This window comes from Homo sapiens, chromosome 2, assembly GCF_000001405.40.
Source record: "Homo sapiens chromosome 2, GRCh38.p14 Primary Assembly".
Lineage (NCBI taxonomy): Eukaryota > Metazoa > Chordata > Mammalia > Primates > Hominidae > Homo > Homo sapiens.
Genome location: NC_000002.12, coordinates 154,435,561 through 154,457,438, shown reverse-complemented (window position 1 = coordinate 154,457,438; position 21,878 = coordinate 154,435,561). Strand labels below are relative to the sequence as shown.

The 21,878-nt window shown below is 33.3% G+C and overlaps 1 protein-coding gene and 1 long non-coding RNA gene across 20 annotated transcripts in view, besides 2 other annotated features; one reads left to right on the top strand and one right to left on the bottom strand.

The window, feature by feature from the left end:
- Positions 1-21,586, top strand: GALNT13-AS1 (GALNT13 antisense RNA 1). The gene is made up of 5 exons (NR_161181.1): positions 1-73; positions 535-642; positions 2,797-2,901; positions 11,554-11,631; positions 19,589-21,586. It is a non-coding gene; the product is annotated as a GALNT13 antisense RNA 1 (long non-coding RNA).
- The window catches only part of GALNT13 (polypeptide N-acetylgalactosaminyltransferase 13), a 1,388,282-nt gene continuing 1,367,268 nt past the window's right edge, over positions 865-21,878 (bottom strand). For 7 of the 19 annotated variants that reach the window (NM_001376402.1, NM_001376401.1, NM_001376400.1 and 4 more), the window contains 2 exons: positions 18,713-18,847; positions 3,262-7,028 (listed from right to left, as the gene is read on the bottom strand). In NM_001376402.1, the coding sequence (NP_001363331.1) occupies positions 6,888-7,028; positions 18,713-18,847 (276 nt within the window). In that variant the 3' untranslated portion in view covers positions 3,262-6,887. Of the gene's footprint in view, positions 7,029-10,673; positions 10,872-18,712; positions 18,848-21,878 lie in introns of those variants that run through there. The other 12 variants (NM_001422882.1, NM_001422883.1, NM_001422881.1 and 9 more) reach the window with 6 other exon arrangements.
- Positions 7,279-7,423: an enhancer, noted in NCBI's record as "145 bp enhancer 37 fragment used in the MPRA reporter construct; PK_construct_550". NCBI's record gives its function as "activates an SV40 promoter by MPRA in HepG2 cells {active_cell/tissue: HepG2}" and the evidence as "EXISTENCE:reporter gene assay evidence [ECO:0000049][PMID:23512712]".
- Positions 7,345-7,358: a transcriptional cis regulatory region, noted in NCBI's record as "HNF1 motif; enhancer activity is reduced when this motif is scrambled". NCBI's record gives its function as "necessary for full MPRA enhancer 37 activity {active_cell/tissue: HepG2}" and the evidence as "EXISTENCE:site-directed mutagenesis evidence [ECO:0005528][PMID:23512712]".

The following is a 21,878-nucleotide window of genomic DNA, read 5'->3' as shown; positions in this document are numbered from 1 at the left end:
AGACGAAAGCACAGTTCTGAGCATGAGAGCTCACATTCTGTTTCTACCAGGTGCTGAAGAAAAGCAAGACAGGGTAAGTTATGGATCTATCAAAGCCTGAAGTGGGTGGGGTTGCTTTATTAGGTTATACTTGAGTACCTGGTTACTGCTGGAAATGTATGCTGTGCGTGGACAAGAGTAACCGAAAAGAGAGTAACAGAGTTGGGTATCTGGAGTCACACTTGGTTTACAGAAAGCCAAGAAGGGACAAAATCTAGAAATGTCCTTTACACTTGCTGACAGTTATAAGTTGCGGAAAACTAGCGAGGTGTTCATGTTTGCAAATCAATGGACTTCTGAACAGGAACTTTCAGATGAGTCTCTTCAGAATAAAATTATGAAAACAGATTATTAGCATCGTCTTTCTCTCTTCCCTTCCCTCCCCTCCCCTTCCCTTTCCTTTCCTTTCCTTCTTCTTTATTCTTGCTTCCCTCTTCCTCCCCTTCCTTCCTTTCTCCACCTTAGAAAATTAAATGCTCTTTTTGATTATCTTAGTGGTTAAGACTGAAGAGTTGATCCTGCGCTGTGCTGTGGAGTGGGCAGCTTCTCTCCATCTTCTCTCACCCTGACACACTGTCTTAGGATTCCAGTCTCAGAAGCCAGGTATTGGGTATGGTCTATATTCTGAAAAATAATTTTTATCATTGATGTGAGACTTTTAAATTTTTCTATTTTTAGTCATTTTTATAAAACAGAAAGAAAAAAAATCCACCTCAAATCATTTCAGAATCAAAAATAAATAAAAATAAATGCTTTAAAATCATGCATATTTTAGTGTTTCTATTTTATATATTTTGATAACAAAATTGTACTGGGAACACAACATTTTCTTGGTGCAAGGAGATATTCATAGGCACTTAATCATTTATTTAAATAATCCACAAACATGGAGGTTAAGCATAAAATAGTGACGTTGTTTATCTATTTGAAATGTTAACCATTTATTTTCCAAAAAGGCAATATATACCAAAGGAAAACTAAATTGGCATATTTTAACTCTACAAAAATGTATGAATATTTAAATTTACAGCAAAAGAACAATTATATCATCTAATAATGCTTACAGTATTTAAAATCTGTCATTATGCACAATCTACTTTTATAAATGTTAAAGAACCATGTGCCAAGCATATATCTAAAACATTTTTGAAATTACTCCTTTCTAGCTGTGGCTACACTGACCAAAACAACAACAACAACAACAACAAAACAAAACAAAACAAAAAAAGCTGAAATACAAAAAAAAAAAAACAAAAAAAGACATGTAATCATCAAGTTCTTTTTTCCCCCTTGTGCTATTTTTAGCAGAAATTTCAGCACAACTGGAACCAAGCAGCAGCTTACTTTCGTTTTCACACCAATGGAATGCATGATGAAAATCTCATTTTTAAAAAACATTATAGATATAGCCTTAATCATCTAATTTTCCATTCTCATTCTAACTCATTAAAAACAGAATATTGAGTGATTTGTTCTCCCTAGCTAAAAACAAAAACAAAATAACTTTATATAACATAACACAAGTATCGCAGAAGTGGTCTTTATCTTAAAGGATCCTTAAGAAAAGAGCTGCCTGAATTCACCAGTATTTCAGAGGGATTTTTCTTTTAAAACAAATACAGTGAAAATTGTCTTTAGAATTTATTGACCAATATAAAACAAACTGGGCTACACATATACACAAATTATTTAAAACACATTGCTGGTGCTCATTCAACACCATAAATTCATACAATAGCTGATATTTAGTAGCAGTTCGAACATGGTGTAGTCACAACAGATGTGTCCATGTACTATACATAAGGGGCTGATTTCACCTATTCCATATTTTGACATATTGGGGAAAATGGGCAGTGGCGGAATCCTGAAACACAAGCTGCCTTTAGAGCTAATTGAGTTTTTGCTGCCCAACTGAACTGGAAATTTATTCAAGATTTGCAGCAGATATCAGCCATGCAGGATGACAGCTGTAGATGGTGACACATCCATTAAAAATTTGAATTTCTAAAATTCTTCATATTTGTGAAATCAGTACACTTTATAACTTAAGAATGCATACATGTTTTGCCTCCTCTGAGACTAGATTTAGCATCTGTAAATGAGATGCAAGTAAAATGGTTGTGAGCAGATACGATCATCATTTCTTAAGTGGTGAAACCATGTGCGGTGGGAGACAGTATTTTGAGGTTTACCGAACTAATTCAGAATATGATCCTAACCTCCCACCAAATTTTTTAAAAAGGTAAAAACAGTTCTGTTTTAGTGTAGTTATTTTTCTCTCTCTGTACACTTTTTTCCTTTTTATTAGACTGTTTCTAAGCACCATGGCAAAATCAAATTTATGGATTGTGTTTACCAGAGTTTACAGAGCTCCACTGGGAAGCCTAGAAATCTCTGCTGATTTCCCTGCAGTCTTTGAAGCTCCATAACATAGAACCTAATCTTCACAGTAATAGGTGGTCTAATTCTCTGTGCAAGCTGTAGGCCAAACCTTACTTTTAACCTGAAGATAATTAGAAGGAAAATGAAAGTGAGTATGTTCCATTAGTTACTACTGAAAAGGCTTTGCTTCCCTGAAACCCAGTTTGCCAAATGATGCTTGGATGTTCCTGTAATCATGCTGTTTCTAGTTTATTTCTGCTGTAGGTCTTAGTGCTTGTATTATTTTAAAGAACTAATTTTATTTAAATGACTAGTAAGAATTTAAATATTTCTAAAGAATCAATATACTAATCATAATTTTTTTTTTTGAGACAGTCTTGAGGCTGAAGTGCAGTGGTGTGATCCTGGCTCACTGCAGCCTCTGCCTCCCAGGTTCAAGCAATTCTCTCACATCAGCCTCCCAAGTAGTTGGAATTACAGGTGCGTGCCACCACATCCAGCTAATTTTTGTATTTTTAGTAGAGACAGGGTTTCGTCATGTTGGCCAGGCTGGTCTCGCAGTTCTGAACTCAAGTGATTCGCCCACCTCAGCCTCCCAAAGTGCTGGGATTACAGGCGTGAGCCACCATGCCTGGCCCCATAACATGTTTAATGAAGATATTTTTCCATTATTGTTCCATTTCTATAATTTTTTGAGTGACAGTATTAGTTTATATTAACAATAAGGGGTCCAGGCAACACCACTTTAGATATATGATCCTTAGAAAAGTTATATTACATATCTGGGTTTCAGTCTTATTATCTATAAACAGAGAAACTAAGACAAGGTCATCTGTAAAGTCCTTTAAAAATCTCTGTGTTTATTCCATTGACTGCACTTAGAAGATAAATTTAGTAATAGTTCTTAAGAAATCATGAAAATACATAATTTTTAAGACAGTGATATCTCTCCTCTGAAAGTCAAAATCTTATACCTTCAAGTGGCCATTGGACACAACCAAAAAATAAAAACCATTTTTAGCTTAATGAAGCAACTTATGTAATATAGCAGCATTTTAATAAAATTTCATATTTCATTTCCATAAGGCAGGATATTTTATCCAGAAAATTAGAGTCCATAGTTTAATGTGAAGAATATTAGGAAGAAAATTAAAATTTGAAGACAAAGTTTTTGGAAATCCTGTCTAAATATATTAGCCTTTATTTTAAAATTTAAAATACAAAAAAAGTATGATACAGTTACACTTAGCAACTTTAACACACATTTTTCAGTTCATTAATTCAAGAAATATTTAGAGAATATATATGCCAGAAATACCAAATGAACAAAACTGACAAAGCCCCTGCCTTCATGGGACTTACCTTCTAGGGCATGTGATGGGCATGTTTGGGGCTGGGGAGGGGGAAGTATAGACAGAAATAAAGAAGCAAACTCATAGATTGTCAGGTACAGGGGATAGGGAAGGCAGATGGGAGAAGGGTTTGTCTTACTGATAAGATAATATTTGAACTGAGATCACTAAGGGGAGCTCTCTGGGGCAGAGGGAACAAAACACTAAAGCAGGAACTTTCTTGGGAGCCATAATAGGGTAAGTAAGAGGCAGAATAATGAGAGATAAGAGATGGTGTTAGAAAAAGGTAGAATTGCATGTGTGTGTGTGTGCATGTGTATGTATGTGTGGTGAGTGGTGTGGACGTGTAGAGGGGTAACACTCATAAAGGACCTTGAAGGCCACCGGAGGGAGAAGTCATTGGAAGATTGTGAGCAGGGAAGTGACACAATCAAATTCATGGTTAACAGAATCACTATGGCTGTTGTACTGAGAAAAGATTGTTCAAGACAAGGACTGGGAAATTAGGGAACTAAATAATAAGCATATTGCGATTAAAAAGGTTAGAGGTAGTGACACCTAGTGGATATGGTGGCAAGTCATTCTTTTCTAGTTATATTTCAAAGGTAGCATCAAGGGGATTTGCTGTTGGATTAGACGAGAGTTGAAACAGAAATAGAGGAGTCAAAAGCAACTTTCAGTTTTTGACCTGAGCATCTGGAAGGTTGAAGTTGCATTAACTGAGATGGAGAAGACCACAGAAGAGATTGGTTTGAAATATGTCAGTCTAGCTCCATAAATAAGGGATAAGACAAGTGCATTATGAATCCAATCATGGTTTTAACTTTTTGTACTGAAGACAATAAACATTTTTGTAAACAAATTAAATGTTAGTCATTGCTTTCTAGTGTTGGATGTTTTGTAATATTTTATGCCACTTTTTGTTAGATACTATAATGGCACGTGTTCAAGCCATCTGAAGATTGTTTAAAAATTCTTTTCTAACATGAAACTCATGTAGTTTTAGTTTTCTCACCATGACCACAATGAACTTTCACATATTTAAAATTCTGCTAAAACGTTTCAAGTTCAGCTTTGATGGGGTAGCTGTATTTATAAAAATTTGCCATTGACCATTTTCTACATAACATGCATTTTGACTAACAAAGCAATAAGTGGAACATATGGTATACATGAGTCCTTGAGAGTTGAAGCTTTTTCAACTTAAGTAATAATGCTGTGCAGGGTCTTTTTACCTTAGTAAGGAGAAGAGGAAATGAGGGGAGAAAAGGAGTGTAAAGATGAAAAATGGGAATTTTACATGAGGCCTCAATGGACTTGAGAGGCTGCTATTAATTTAAGGCAATGGTTCACTGCCTCTTGGGAGTCATAGCCTTCTTTCCAAGTTTGCTGTGAGTGACATACTCCCACCTCAGAAAAAAAAATGCCCTGATATTCAACATTTTGCTTACAATTTTAGGAAATTCACGGATTCACAGAGAGCTCATGGTGAGGGGTGTCTATATTTAAAGAGCAAACCTGAAATGCTCCAGGTTGTAGATTCTTCCCTACAGTTGTACCAATAAAAAGTCAAAAGAGGAAGGAATACCAGTGGCAAAAATCATTTAAGATTTTACTGACCATCAGAAAGTGTCCTCATTTTCATTATAAAGCAGTGTATGTGCATGTCAGAGACATAGTTTGTATGCAGTCAAAATGATTAATCCTTTCTATAAGAGCTTTTTAAGTAAAGATGAGGACCAAAGAAGTGGAATCTTCTGCTCCAGAAAACACTTCTTCCACTTTTCCTCTCAAATTTCTCTTAGCTGCTGAGTGCATTTATAATGGATAACATGCATATATAGGGCAACTCTTTGAGCATTTAAAATGATGTCAAATATAAAAACTTACTAGCAAAAATCTGATTTTTTTTCACTTTCATGGCCTCTGCTAATGTATTTTGAACATAAAGGGTTTTAAGATGAGAAAAGAAAATGTGAATGTAGCCTGATTATAACTATATTCCTTGGGCCATAATATATGGCAAACAATATATAGCAGTTTAATTACAACAAAAGTTTAATGAATGTGTATTGAGTTTATTCCCCTGGTGATAAAATTTTTAGATACTGGAGCACAGCACTGAAAGGTATTCTTTAACATAGAAAATGAAAATGACAGTGGTAACCTAACTAAAATCTTTAAGTGCAATAGAGTTAAAAATTAAGTCTAAAATTCTCCCTTTCACCTGCAATTCTGTACAGCATCAATGGCATGCCACTGTCTATAGAGTGAAGAGAAAAGGGATGGTAGAGTTTGTGGAGACCAAGATTTTGGTTAAGAATTGAGTATCCAACATAAACTCTAGGAGCAAGATTGTTTAGTTTCAGCCTGTGTTAGGAATGATTGCAACCCACTTTGAGTTCTCTCACAGTGATCGAAGTGCTGCGGATTAGACTCATCTTGTTCCCCTCAATGCTTCGCGGATTTCTTTTTTTATGTACTCTAAATTGAATTTAAAAAGTTTCCTTCTCTTTTTTGAATTCACATTGGTTTAAATGTGATGCTTCTGTAAAGGCTCCATGAATTCAATATCCAATGTAATGTTTTTCCTTGTCCAAAACTTGGAACATTTTGTAAGATGAATTCACCATTCAGAAGTAATTTAATATGTGGCCCTGTTGTAGACACAGAAATCAAACATGTTTCCATGAAGGATCCATAAAAAGAGTGAGTTTATAAAGCAACTGATAATATTTCATAATGAAGATTTTATAAGGCATTTACATTATCTCTTTCAATCACCATGACAACCAAAAATAAAATAACCTCCAATTAACCCTATGACATGAGTGCAATAAACATTTTTCTTAAAGCAAACACAATTTGTTTTACAAGTTGTTCTGTTGTTTAATAGTAGTTTGCTATTATTTATATTCTTATGTGCTTTGATCAGATACAAATTTTAGTAGGGAAATAAGCAAACATTTCTAGAAACGAATTAGAAACAATTGTGTTTTAGAATACTAAAAGGATTTTTAAAACTTTCAATTCAGCAAAGTTAATATTTTCCCCCAATTGAAATAATGGAAAAACAAAAGCGTAGACACTTTCATGGCTTGGAGGACATGATCTTCATGTGCCCAAGGTCATGTTCCTTAGCAGCCACTGTTGGGATCTGCTTCCACTACAGTCCTGCATTGTAGGCACCATTTTGTCTTCTTCAGAAGGTTCATCGAGACATTGGTTACTGTTAACATGTCGCAACGTGAGTCTCTGTAAAAGATAACCAATAATCAGTGCAGCTTATTTCGTCTTTAGCTTTGCTAGCACATCAGATAAAATCTGTTCTTTAAAAAATCCTTTATGATTTTTATAGTATAATACACTGTGATAGCTTTGTAAAAGGAACTGTGCACAGGTGTCCCTGGATTAATTATTATACATCTTTGACTGTTATGAAGTCATCATTGTCTAATATACCTTTATTTGCAGATGGCTAAAGAAACTGACTGACATTTATCAAGCATTGCCAAGAATTCAGGCTCCTTTGCAAAAAGCCCATTTGTGAGCTCCGAGTTCAGTTGAGGACTGCAAATATTAACAAGCTTTTGCAAAAGCTTAGTTTTCTTAGGCATGTGTTATTCAGTAACCATTTGGTAAACATGCAAATAGATGGCACAGCTGTGACCCAAATGAACAAAACTGCTAGAGATGTTCCCATTTCAAAATACTAAACAAGCTATAGTATCTGTGACTGTAAGACACTCATTGTAGAAAGTGATTATCAGAGCAAAAAATAATCTGTCTTACTTGATAAAATCCTTACAATAGTTTGGTCTGTATTTTTAAGAATCTTAAAAATATAACATAAAAACAGGGGCATGATGATCACATATTTTTAAACATTATATTTATATTTTAGTTTCTTCATAAATTCCAATAATTGTATGTTAACCAGTCATTATATATCTTCTCTTTGGCATTTTTACGTACATTGGAAATCACATTTTTGGACTTTTCAGATATACATTTTAAATCAACATGATTTATACATACTAATTATATATATTTCTGCTATTTCATGGGCAATACCTAGGATCATATTATATGAAAACCTCTCCAACCAGAAGCGAAGTATTTGAATGTATGAGAGATGATTTGCAAATATATCTTGAAAATAGCACTCTAGATACTTTTTTTTTTGCAAATTACCAAAATTAAAGGCAAAGAAATTTTTTTTTTTTTTTTTTTTTTTTTGGCTCATGATACTACATTGAAAATGGGATGAAAGTAAATGTAAGGGGTGGGCCATAAAAATGGTAGAGGAACAGCAGCCAGACGATTGTAGTTTGCTTAGATTAGGACTGAAAACATCGTGGACTGCACTGTTGTAAGAAATGATGGAATGGAGAATAGGTTTGTGGCGGAAGAGGCCTAAGAGGCAGCAAGCAGGAAATTAAAAGAGCAAGGCAATTAGATACAAAGGAGATTTCAAGATTGAGACCTTTGTTGTTGCTCTTTCAAAACATGGAATCAAGCTATTTACACTAAAAAACAAAGAAAGGAATAAATGGCCAAAGATAGGCAAGAAGATGGCTGATTTATGCTTATTATGCCAGAAATTCAACCAGTAGCCAGCTTGAAAAAATAAAGATGCATAACAAAAACAATATGTATTTTTTCTAGACAGTTCTAGTTAAAAATCAACAAAATTGTTTCATTTTTGTTACGTACCTGTGGTCTTTTATGTATATATTCTCTTTCAAAAATATCACTTACCATTGCATACTTCTATTAGATCCCTTTTTAAAAAAAGTATGATTTTTCATATATCAAATATGTCATTGCCCATTAAGCTACCCCGGAAAGCACTCCCAGTGTCTTATTGCAATTGATCACATATCATAGTAGTTGAATGCTTTGATCAATTATCAGTTACCTTAGTTCAAAATATAGCACAGACTTAGGGAGATTTTTCTTTAAGGAACATGTTGAATAGATGTTGTCAACTGCACAAATAATAATTTTAAAAACACTAGTTATTATTGTTCTTTCTAAACAATATATGATTTATTTGAAGGAATTCACTAATAGTCAAAACCCACTGCTGCAGAGACAAACAACTAAATACTTCTCCTTTATAATGTAGTGCAGTGGAAAACCAGACCTTTTAGACTCAGGTAAATTCCTGTCCTTTACTTACTGGCTGTGAACACTCAGGCATGTTTCAAATTATTCTGAGGAATCATGTTCTTTGTCAGAAAATACTTAGACTTAAACATGCTTACAAATACAGTTTTTCCCTTTTGTTTAAAAAATTTGACCTTCAGTCAACTATCTAACTGTAATCCCCTGGCAACCTTGAAAGGGTAAAAATGTTAACTATGTTTCTAGGCTACATTGTTTATGGTAAAAGTGAACTCTGATTGATAAACTGCATCTGCAACTGATAAATTGCATATATATACTAACAGAAAAGCAAACTTCGGGCTTTTCTAAATGCAGACTTGTAATTCTAAATGTTTTATTTGGTTCCTGGAAGCTAGGCCTATGGAGTTGTTACAAGGAAACATCATCTTCTGTGAGGATAAGGCTAATAAGCCAGGATGGTTTTGACATCTGCCTGATGTGGATCTCATCTCCTTGCAACAGACTGTTACCTGTAAAGAAGGCTGTAAGAACTGCTAAGGGAACTGCTCCAATTTCTCCTATGGAGAGAAGCACTCTGTGGTCTCTGCTCTAGCACTCTACAGTAGACTTGTGAGAATAAATATTTAGTTAAGCCTAAGCTTCCTTTTTTGGCACTGCACGTATCAGGATTGGTTGCTCTGAAAGCAAACTAAGATAATACACATAAATTGCTCTGTACATAAGTTCTCTTTGTGCAAAAGACCTAGACTTTTCCAGCTTTACCAACTCTTACATTTGGAATGTCTTTGGCTTGAATATAGTTCTAAGTAAAATAGTACCCCATATGTTGTCCCCTCATCCATAATTTCATTTCTAGCCTTGTTCCAAGACTTCTAAGCTCAATTGTTTCCTCCACTAACAATCTTTAAGTGGTTCATCTGAACCAGAAAAATGCCCCAATCTTCCTTGTGTTCTCATTGTAAGGTCTGGGACAAAGTAAAATCCTTTAATTATTGGATAATACACTCTTTAAAACTAAAAGCTAGGACATGTTCTTATTTGCACTCTTTACAAGAATTCCATATCAGTTTGTTGACTTGACCTGTGTAATGATTCATTTTATTGCTTGCTGAAAAGATAGTCACAAATCGTAAAAGTGAGAGATAAAAGATACAACTTAAAAAAATATTGTTTCACTTAGGCAACCACAAAGAAATGCTTAGAAATAATTTTCTTTATAAAGGTATTAAAAATCACATCTTAGTCTTTAATAATGTGTTTGCTTAGTGTTTTAATTAAAATAATAAGATACTTTAGAAAGGATATGCCATATTTGCATTTAACCAAAGTATCTGAATAAAAAGAAACAAAAATAAATGATTCCAGTGTCTTAGAAACAATACTTTCTTTGGCCCTGTTAGTTTTTTAATCGATTTTTTTCAGATCTGATGACGCAGAACCTGTTGTCATATAGACATGGCTATAGTTTGCCTCAAAGAGAGTTAATATTTCATAATATCGTTCATCAAGTATATTTATGCATATATATGTTTAAAATAAAGAAAAAAAACAAAAAAACCCCTACTCATTAAGGATAGACTAAACACAACTTAATATATGCAGTCCCCAAATTAATGAGTAGCTAGGAAGTAAAAGACAGAGAGTTAACTCCATGGAGAAAAGGTCATACAAATTTTTCTTAACCACATTTTAAAGGAGTTTCCAGATTTCAATAACTGAACATAACAAAAATGCTAAAATAAATTTAATAAAATCTGCAACACAAACCTCCAAAAATCATTAGAGAATGTAATCAGTAGAATTCCCAAAAATATTTCTAAAAATTTCCATTCTTGTATAGTTTCTTAGTAGCCATTTTTGCAAAGTGCTATCATTACAGGTTTCCACAGTAGGATGCTGGGAGCCATCAGCTACTTTGTTCACTGAGAGACAAGACTGGGTGATTATATGAAGAAGAGTGTGGGTCTGTTTGACAAAGAAAATAACGAATAATGACAAAATCAAGTACAAAGACAGTAATAAATCAATCATCCTAGGCAACATGCAATTTCTACTGGATAAAGATGGAAGGCACATGTCACAATAATTGTATCCATGGAGCTGTGAGCCACATTTTTTTAGATGGCTTTAATATCAACCCTATAAGGAAGGAGTAAATGAAGATAAGACTGAGAATATGGAGAGGGGCTTACGATAAAATAATGAAATATTTTTGGCAAAAGGTTATTTTAGATATAAAAGATTATATTCTCAGCCTTCATCCTAGTAATACAATGCTTTTTAGTACCAGATGAGTTATTTGCGAGTGGATATTCAAAATAGTTGATTAGTCCAGCTATGGCCCTTGGCCTCCTCATTCTTTCACCCTAAAATTAAATAAATATCAGGGACAAATTCAGAGGATAATTTAGCTTTAAGGCTTTACTTTGAACAGTATGGTACTCAAATTGCTCCCACTTATGTTTTTACAAGGCTAACCTGGGTTGTGTTCCACATGTACATTGCCACCTTTGTTAGATGTCAATTAGAAAGGTAGATAATGAAGGGAGGAAAAAGAAAAAGATTAACTCTTAATCTAATTCTCCAAACAATTTTAATTAATTAATTTATCTGTCTGTTTCTTGCTCTCCATCTATTTCCTCCATAGGAACATAAGCTCCAGGAAAGCCACAGACTATGGCCACCTACATCTTGAAGCTCCGTGCCTGCCCTTGGGAGACACTAAGTAAGTCTGTTGATTCAAACACTTAGTGAAAGACCAGTGCAGACAATAAATCCTGTTAAAATTAAGCTACTTCTCTCAGGCAGCTTAATGAACACAAATTATTGGATTTATGTTTTCAAGGATTTATCTTCCACAGTAAAATAGTACATAATTTGTAAAGAAAGAAAAAATAACATTGTATTCATAATATTAACTATGTAGTTAATATTAAAACTGTAACTATAAATAATATTGTTAACTATATAGCTTGATTTTTTAAGAAGACTAGTTTATATTTTTGTTTTTAAACCAAACATGAATTTTCCACCCATACTGTTCAAAACTGCTAGGCTAGATCATCCTCTACTCTCAGTGATATTTCTCCTTGAAGTGAACTTTTCTTGGAAAATGCCACTTTAACAACAAAGATATTAGTGTAAATGATGTTAATTATGTTTGTAATATAGAAGAAAAATTATTTTTATGACATAAAACAAAAACAAAATGATTTTGCTTATCCTCTGGAAACATGACCCCAGGGCATAAATACAATATAGAATTTTCATTAAAAAAATGACTGTAACATATGTCCCAAAGGTGTTTATCAAATGAATGGCCATGAAAAAATAGTCAAAGAAGTTTCATTCCAGGTACTTCTAAAAAGCCATAGCCCAGAAGAAAAATTACAAATCTTGTCCTTATTGAGACAAAAATTATTTTTCATTTAAAAACACACAAAATTATTTAGTGTCTTCATTTGCTTGAAAACAAAGCATAGTTCATTTTTTTCTCAGTATACTGTTTGAAAAGATAACAATTATTAATATTGTATGTATGTTCTAATAATTTTATGTATTTATACAATTGAGGTCATATAATAAAATATTCTTTTATTCATGTTGTGGGCATTTTTTCTATCACTAAAATAATCTACAAACATACTATTAAGAAATAAACTATTTCTCTAAAATGAATTTCCAAAATCCATTTAACTTTTTTATTTGCAGGGAATATCTTTCCAATTTGGAGCTATTGCAAATAACAAAAATATATTGTATTTCAGAGATATTTGATCAATATATTGATATTCAGAGATATTTGTCATTATTAATAACACATGGCAAATATCTCTGAACATCAATGTCTACATCTGTCATTATTTCTTTGGAAATGATTCTTAGAAGTGAAATTGCAAGGTCAAATACATGAACACTTTAACACATATCAGCAAAGTCCTTTAAAATATATCTATAACAGTAATTTTGTAATAATAGCAGCAGCAGCTAACACTTCTTGTGCTTGCTATCTGCCAGGATACTTTATGGGTGTCAGTCTCACTGCATCTTCACCAATATTACATGTTGCTGCTAAAAACATTTCTTGCTGTATTGAAAGGATAAGCAAGAAATGAATACAGTAACACACATAAAATGATTTTTATTTATGTTTTTTAAAAACTTTTTTTCATTTTCTTTGGCTACATTTCTACTATGCTGTTTATTCAAGTCCTTGCACATTTCTATATGTGGTATACTATTTCCCTTTCAAAAAGTATAGTAATTAAGGGTTGATATGCTCTTTATTAGGTATATCAACCCTTAGTTATATCTGTTTTTGTTGCAAATGCCTAATTAGTCTACTTTTGTTTTGTTTTAGAGAAAGGGTCTCACTATATTGCCCAGGCTGGCCTTGAACTCTTGGGCTCTAGCAATCCTCCCATCTCAGCTTGCCAAGTAGCTGGTACTACAGGCCCATGCCACTACATCCAGCTATATTAACTCAACTTTGAAGACAATGTGACATCCAGGCTGACATGCAACTTACTGCCAAATATATTTTCCTATAGCTTTATTTAAAATATTGACTAAAAATAGGATCATCTAAACCCTAAGATAGTATTGAGTTTTGTTTATAATATAGTATTACTTTATTGTTCTCCTCTAGAATGCAAAGCCTTGGTATTGCCTGCAATGTAGAATATTTTAATCGTAACATGTAAAAATACATAAGAAAAATATTAACGATTCATGCCTTTAAATATATTTGCAAGTTTGACTAACATAAAATGTAGCGTGGAGTATCTCTAACTTTACCCTTCCAAATATATAATTCCTACTTAAAGCCAACTGGAATCAGGCTAAACAATTTTGGTGACAAAATAAGAGCCATTAATATTGTAAAATTAGGCCATACCTTGGTATTAAAACATACTAATTTAAAAAAATAGATATTTTAATGAACTGACTGCATAGTTGATTTAAGAGCCAATCGCACAGGTCTCAGTTTAAAAGTTGGTATAGTAAAAGATTAAAATAAAACCCAATCAATTATGTTATTACATATAATCATATACAAAATAAGTATAAATTTGTACTATATTTAATTTAATAGCAAAGATAATAGGAGTTCTTCTGTTAATCAAGCATAGAATAACAATTAAAAATTAATATAACAAAGTTGTTACTCAAAACATTAATTATGATCTCCAGACAAGGTAATCTACGCATTCAGTCGAACAGAAATATTATAAAATATGAAGTGTAATCATTTAACATATAGGAACTACAAATATGACGCTAATCTATTGAAATTCCTACTCACTACTTCTAATAAGAAATCACAGCTATGGGTCAATAGGAATATGGAAAGGTAATAACTGTGTAATGCACACAACCTTCAAAAGGTAAATTGAGCCATTGTTTTTCTTAGGAATGCTACACAGGGGAATGGCTGGGATGCACTTAAAGATCACTTACCTTGAAATTATAATCCCATTTACCTGCTCTCTAATAAAGGTAAATAAAAGATGGTAGTGTAAGTAAAGTCTAAATATTAATCTAACACATTTCACCTATGGAAAAAAATTCCTTATATTGTGACTCTGGAAATTATTTGATACAGATGTATATAGAATTCACAACAAGTATTTTCTAAGTCAACTTGCTCAGTCACATGAAAAATAAGTTATTTTTAGTATCATATTTTTCTCCCTTTTTTTCTTTGTTGCATAGTGTTTGTTGAACATAAGTGTTCTGATCTAAAATTAGATTCTCACACTGTATGTAGCTGCCTAGTTATTCAAAAAGAAATGTAATTATGTGCACATATCATAGGGAAATATTCTAAATTGATTGGAACATAATTATAATGTTCAAACAGAATATAAGAACACCTGAAAACAATAGAATTAATGGATGACAGAACTTTATAAAAATAATTTTTAAAATGTCTCAGTGAGATGAATTTTTTTCTCTTCATTTAATCCTGGCAATAGGCATTTCATGGCACAGAAGGGTTTGTGCAATTTATTTAAGCTTCCAGACCACGTAGGTACCCCACAATTTTGCTAATGATGCCCAGGATGCCCTCAATTCAAACAGGTTAGGCCACATATAAGATGACAGTGAATTGAATTCGTGGTTATTTAAGGACTATTTAGTTAGGGGTGTGAGAAACTACACTTGAAATCAAAGTTGACCAAAGAAGTGCATTTATTACTAACATGTGCTTAGTTTCATTCAATTACAAGGATAAGCAATTAGATATTATATTATGAATATGTATAGCTGAAGTTTGTAAGCAATTAGAGCAAAATGACAAAGTAGTTTTATGACTGCTTATTTAGCTAAATGGACCATATTTATTGTAGAACACCTTTCCCCCTATTAAAAAAATGAGAAATTTTAGTTCAAAATTTGGCATAACAAATAACTGATAGCATTTAGCTATTCCATTTGAAATACTGTATATTTAGCTTATTATATCTTAACCACTGAAAGAGAATCTAATTATTTCCAGTTTTTCGACAACATCAAGAGGCAATGTAGTGTAGTAGAAAAATTGCTGGATTTACTGCCAGAATCTGGCTGTGCAAACTTAAACGAGGCATTTACCCTATGCTTCATTTTACTAATGTGAAAAATAGAATAACTGTCTTATAAGACTATTGTAAGAATTGCATGAGAAAACAGATAAATACGTGTTGAACTGTATTCCTTCTCTTTTCCCCCACTCACCTAAGAAGTAAACAAAACCAAAGTAGCTGGATAGATTCCATCTTTTGAGGCTTCATGACACTGTTTCCATTTTTCTCTGGATATTCCAACAATCTTGCTTCTATTTATGACTTTCTTTTCTAAGATTGAAAGGACTATGGGAGATAAGGTGATGGAATATTTGTGCTGTTCACATGGTGAGATTCACAATTGTACTGATAGCTAGCTTGCTTGGAATACTTTATTAGGACCTGAATCCTAGCTCTGCTGCTAGCGGTGTAATCTTTATGCTTTAGTTCCTCCTGATAAAGGCTTAAAGGAGAGAACTTTAAGGTACATTTCAGTTCTGTAATTCTATGAACTCCAACAATTTTTATTCTGCCTTGAACCTGCACCACCTCAGAGATTTTTCAAAGAATAATTTTGTCCTTGCCAGCAAAAGATAAAGAATTGAGTTAAAGTAGTAAGCAGTGCGCATTTACTTTCCACAGGTTGGAATATGAGAAGAATAGAACCACTGAGCAATTATTCCTCTTTCTCATCTCAACACCTCTTATCCTTTTGCTCCCTTTCCCTCTCTCTGCTCCCCTCTGGAGGCCTTGCCATTTTCCAAATTGTATTCATGCCTTTTCCTAAATTTGTAACATTCTTTAACCAGTGTATAAAAAGACTATGGAAGATACATAGATATTTGACCCTGTCCTTTTCAAATGTAAATATGTATATGAATGATCGGAGATTTTGTTAAAATACAAACTTGGATTCAGTGTGTTTAGCATGGGTTCGGATCCTGCATTTCTAACAAGTTCCCAGGTGATGCTACTACTCCTGGAATCACCCTGTGGGTAGCAAGGGGTGGAACCATTCTGTGAACTAAAGAAACCCTAAATGTAAAACTGAAAAGCATAGTAATAAATGTTATATTTCAATTTTGTTTAAAAAAAATCCTTTTTAACGACCTTCTCAAAAATATAATCGCACATCAAAGCTGAAATTTCCAGAAAGGCAATGTATTATTCCTACAATTGCTCTATTCTCATGTCATTTATTAGATTATGACCTATGCATTTTTTAATTTGGCAAAGTGCTGTCATTAGACAATGTAAACATCACTAGTTAATTTTGAAAACATAAACATATAAGAGAATTTAATTAAGCTATATAATTCAGATGATCAAATTATTTAAAATAAAAATTTCTCAATATTTATGACATTTTATAAGCTTTTTGTGCGTGTGTTCCAAAGTCAAAGTAAACATGACACAAAATATTATAGTGCTCTGAAATACTGCAACAGATAACTACTAGTCATCCAAAAGAGTAAATTTATAGAAATCATTTATTTATCTACCTATGTGAAGCTACCTATTTTTTTTTTCACTTTTTACTTAAAATTCCTTAGTATTCAATAGCATTGCTACTAGCTGACAGAAAATGTAAACCAAAATATACACCAAATTGCTAACAGTAGTTATTTGAGAAATGAAAGAATTTGAGTTATGACATTGTTCACTCAAGAGTTATGGAAAAGTTTAAAGATTAAAAGTGGTATTCTAAAATTCCACACTGCTTGCTTTTATAAAAATGTACACGATCATTCCCCTTTCTTAATAAATATATTCTAGATTTTCTTATTTTTAGCATAAGCTCAGTAGAGCCCCAGGTTCCTGGTAGAAACGGAACAGTAACAACAAGAAGAACAAGTTTTATTTAAAAACAAATATCACTTACAGGATTTCTACTATATCTGTACATTTTACTGCACTTTTCCTCATAGAAGAGAGTACTGATGAAGGATTTACCTACATGTATTTTGCAAAGGCACTGTTTTCTGTAGGCTTAATATCAAGGATGGTACCAATAAATAATAGTTGAAGAGAAAAAAATTGGTGGTCAGACAAGGTGAGTAAGATATAGCGAAGGCAGTAGCATCTTAATCACACTGGTACAACATAGGAAGAATTCTCAGTGTTTGCCCTCAATTATGGCCCAGAAGATGATTTTGTGTCCTAAGATCCTGGTAACACTGTATGAGTGTTAGGCCCAAAATTAACCCTGCACAACCAGTTTCAAATCCTATGAGAATTCAGTAAATTTTTCTAGTATTCAACTTAAGAAACTACAGACTCATGCAAATATTAAAACGACATTCAAAAAGGTTTTTAAAAGGTCTTGCTAAAATATCAACAATACCAAAAACTCTGTAGATTGGTTTTTAAAATGTTATTCTTGTAGAAAATTTTAGGCTTGCATGGAATACTGCATCTGTGAGACTCATTTACCTCTATAGTAGTATTTATCTTTTAAGCAGAACGAAGTTTAGTTTTCCTTTTAAATAAATCACCTACCACTTAATAATGTGGGAAATGTAACACAGACAACCAATTCATTTTGTTAATCAAAAAAGAAAACTGAAAGAAATGAAGCTGTTTTCAAGAGTAAGCTTCGTTATGCAAAGGAAAATATTTCTTTTTTATTAGCTCCATCTGATGGCTGATCTGGTTTTTACACACTGCCTGGAGATAAATTTCCAACAGTAATTTTGTGGTTTTCTCTCCCTCTTCTCTGTCAGAAAGGTGTGCTATATTGAGAAGAGGCTACTCAACTTTTTATGTGACTAATTAGTTTACTGAATTCTGCAAAATATTTACAACTGTAAACAGTAAAGAAATCTTGTTAATCTTGTCAGATATTGTTCCTTCCAGTTGAGGAACATAAATGTCAGTGATTAGTATTGTAAAATTTAAAATTTGAAAATATGGACATATTGTCAATATTATCCTGTATGCACATCTTCATACAAACCTCTCAGATAGGCTTAGCTTACCTCTTGCCTAATTTATGTTTGGCATGTACATGGAGATAACAAGTTGTCATACACAAAACTGATTTTATTGTCCTCATTCATATTTTATATTAATGGACCAATTTGGTGAAACCTGTTTATATGATATGCCATCCTAATATTACCGGATATGAGCCTGCATGCTTGAAAATCTAATTCTGCCAATGTAGATAAAAACCAGCTTAAGATTTAAATGTTGAATGTTGAAATATATAACTGAGCTTAAGCATCAAATAATAAGTAAATTAAGAAAATACTATACCTCAGCATCATATTCCCATAACTGATTTCCTCTCATATGGTGGCATTTTAACATGATTACAGGTCCATTGAGTCTAGAAACATCCAAGCACAAGTCATCGGTTCGGATTTCTTTGTCAGCAGTGTAAGAAAATACCTGAAAATATAAATTCAGCTAATAAAAAAAATGTATGTTTTAAAATGTCACAATAGAGCAGATCTATCCAGGGAAGCTTTCGTATCAGATAAACTTGTGTTTTCAAACGATTGCTGGTATGTTATCTTGAGAAAGCTAATTCATCTCTTTGAGTCTTTTTCCTCAACTGCAAAATAGGGACAAAGTCATCTGTTTTATGATGTTTTGGTGAGGCCTCAGTTTAACAAAACAAACCTTTAAATACCCATTATTTGCTGGCACTGTAGTTCTTTCATGATACTTGCATTATAAAGCTCTCAATAGGTTAAGTAAAATAAAGTTTACAAACTGCATGGAGCTCAGTGAAGGCAGTCCCTGTTCCTACTATTGTATGACCAGTTCTCCAATTCTACAATGTCATTTTTTCATATAGAAGTTTAAATCTTTCTTCTGATAACATAAGTACATCGTGTAAGTTTTATTAAATACTGTCAGTGAGCTTCTGAAGGTTGTAGAAGTATCTTCTCTAGAGATCTTATTAAAGGTAGGCTCTACACTTATCTCTCTAATATGGTTTGCCTAAGCTTAACTACATCAATTCTTCTGAAAATATCCAAGAAATGTCACGGTGGATTATGGACTCTTTGTTAGATAATTCAATTGAACTATAATAATCTTTATTATTTTGTTCCTGGTGTGAATAATTTATTTACAACATTGATTATTAAGGTTTCATGAGGGTTTTTTTTTTTTTTTTTTTAGATGGAGTCTTGCTCTGTCGTCAGGCTGGAGTGCACTGGCGTAATCTGGGCTTACTGCAACCTCCGCCTCCCGGATTCAAGCGATTCTCCTGCCTCAGCCTCCCGAGTGGCTGGGACTACAGGCATGCGCCACCATGCCGGCCTAATGTTTTGTATTTTAGTAGAGACGGGGTTTCACTATGTTGGCCAGGATGGTCTCAATCTCCCGACCTCATGATCCACCTGCCTCGGCCTCCCAAAGTGCTGGGATTACAGGTGTGAGCCGCCATGCCCAGCCTCATGAGGGTTATTAAGCACATAATTATAGAATGTGTTTTCTTCTTTTAACTACGATAAGCATTGTTCAGTATTCTGTGGGTTTTTCTTTCTCCTTGCAATGTCAACAGAATACATAATGAGAAAGGTCATGTCAGGGTCTTTTTGTTTCTCAAAGATATCTGATGAAATCTGAGGAAGTCAGCTTTACAAATAACATAAACTCTGGAGCTCCGTAAGCTGAACGAGTTAGTCTTGGAAGAGTTGCCTCTGCAGCATTGCTACTCAGAACTTCTATGAAAACCACAAGAAGTGGTGAGAGGAAGCGGCAAAATCAATGACAGAACACAAATACCCTCTTCTGCCAACCGCTTAAAAGGAAATTATGGGGGGCTGGGTCGGTGGTTCGGTGGCTCACGCCTGTAATCCCAACACTTTGGGAGGCTAAGGCGAGAGGATTGCTTGAGCCCAGGAGTTTGAGACCAGCCAGGGAAACATACAGAGATGTCAGCTCTACAAACGATAATAAAAAGAAAATTATCCAAGCATGGTGGTACACGCCTGTTGTCCCCACTACTTGGGAGGCTGAGTGGGAGAGGCTGAGGTTGGCAGATTGCTTGAGCCATGATCACACCACTGCACTCAGTCTGGGTGACAGAGCAAGACCCAGTCTCAAAACAACAACAACAACAACAACAAAACCCAGAAAATTCTTCACAAAGGTTATACATTTTCTCAATAATATACAAATTTGAGAAATGTGAAGTACATTTAATTGAATTATGTAAAATATAACACAGACTTCATATATTCAATTCACAAATAAATTTTCTAGGTTCTTTACTTTTTCATGTTCATATGTTTTTTATGAAGAACATATGGTCACCTAAGAAGAATAAAATAAAAACCCATCAAACAGAAATATTCATATCCTCCCCAAACCGTATTATCTTAAACACAATTACAAACTTATTTAATTACACAAGTGAGAATCTTAAGCTGAGAGAAGAAAATTTCTAGAGAAATTTCTTTTGTTCATTATAGGATTATTTCAATACTGAAGGATAGTCTTCGACATTAGAATTGCTTCCTTTTAAAGTGTACAAATGCCAGTGTAAAAGGAAACATCATAACATCCATTTCAGCCTTAATTTTCTAATGGCTCAGGCCGTTTTTATACAGTGTATTCTTCTCCAGTGTCTTAAGATAGTTTGGAAACAGTACCTGTTGAACCTTTCAGAGAGCAGTCTACCATATATCCCTTGATCCTCAATTTCTAATTTAGATTCATTTGTGGTTGTTACAGTTATAAGTAACGTACATTTAAGAAAGATATATCTGTAGAACAGTTTCTGCACTTATATGTGTATATAAATTATATGTCTGCTAAATTTTTTTTGGCCTTTGTACTTGAAAAAAAATTAACAGATGTTAAAATATTTGGCTCACAAGCAATGTTAAAAACAATCTGTAGATAATGCTTCCTTATTTTTCTTGGATTAATGTAAAATCAGGATTAATTTGCTTTGTGTACCTGGGAAATAATCTCGTTTGTATGCTTGTTTCTAGGATGTCTTTTACTCTTCATAATAATAAAAAAGTCAGTGCATGTCAGTATATACATATCCTTCTTGATTTTATCTGGAAATTATTAGGTTTGATCTCAATTATTTATCATTTATATCCATTAGCTTTTTAACCCATAATTGTCATTATTAAAATTTTTTTCATGTTTACTACTGTGAAAGGTTCATGGAATTCACTTTGGGTATACTGAAAACATTATATGTGAAATACTTTGCAGAGATTCTAGCACACAGACAAAATTCAGTAGCTGATATTTAGAGTTATTATTCCCAGTCTTGGAGTTAATCCCAAATTGAGGATTTCTTCCCAATACTGCCAAGAAATTTTAGTATAAGGGTCCAGCAATGTTTGCTCTTGCCTGTCTGTGCTGACCCTTGGCCACTACACAAGTCCCGAGAGAGAGTTTATAATACCTGATGACAGATGTTTCTGATAATTTCAGCATTGTA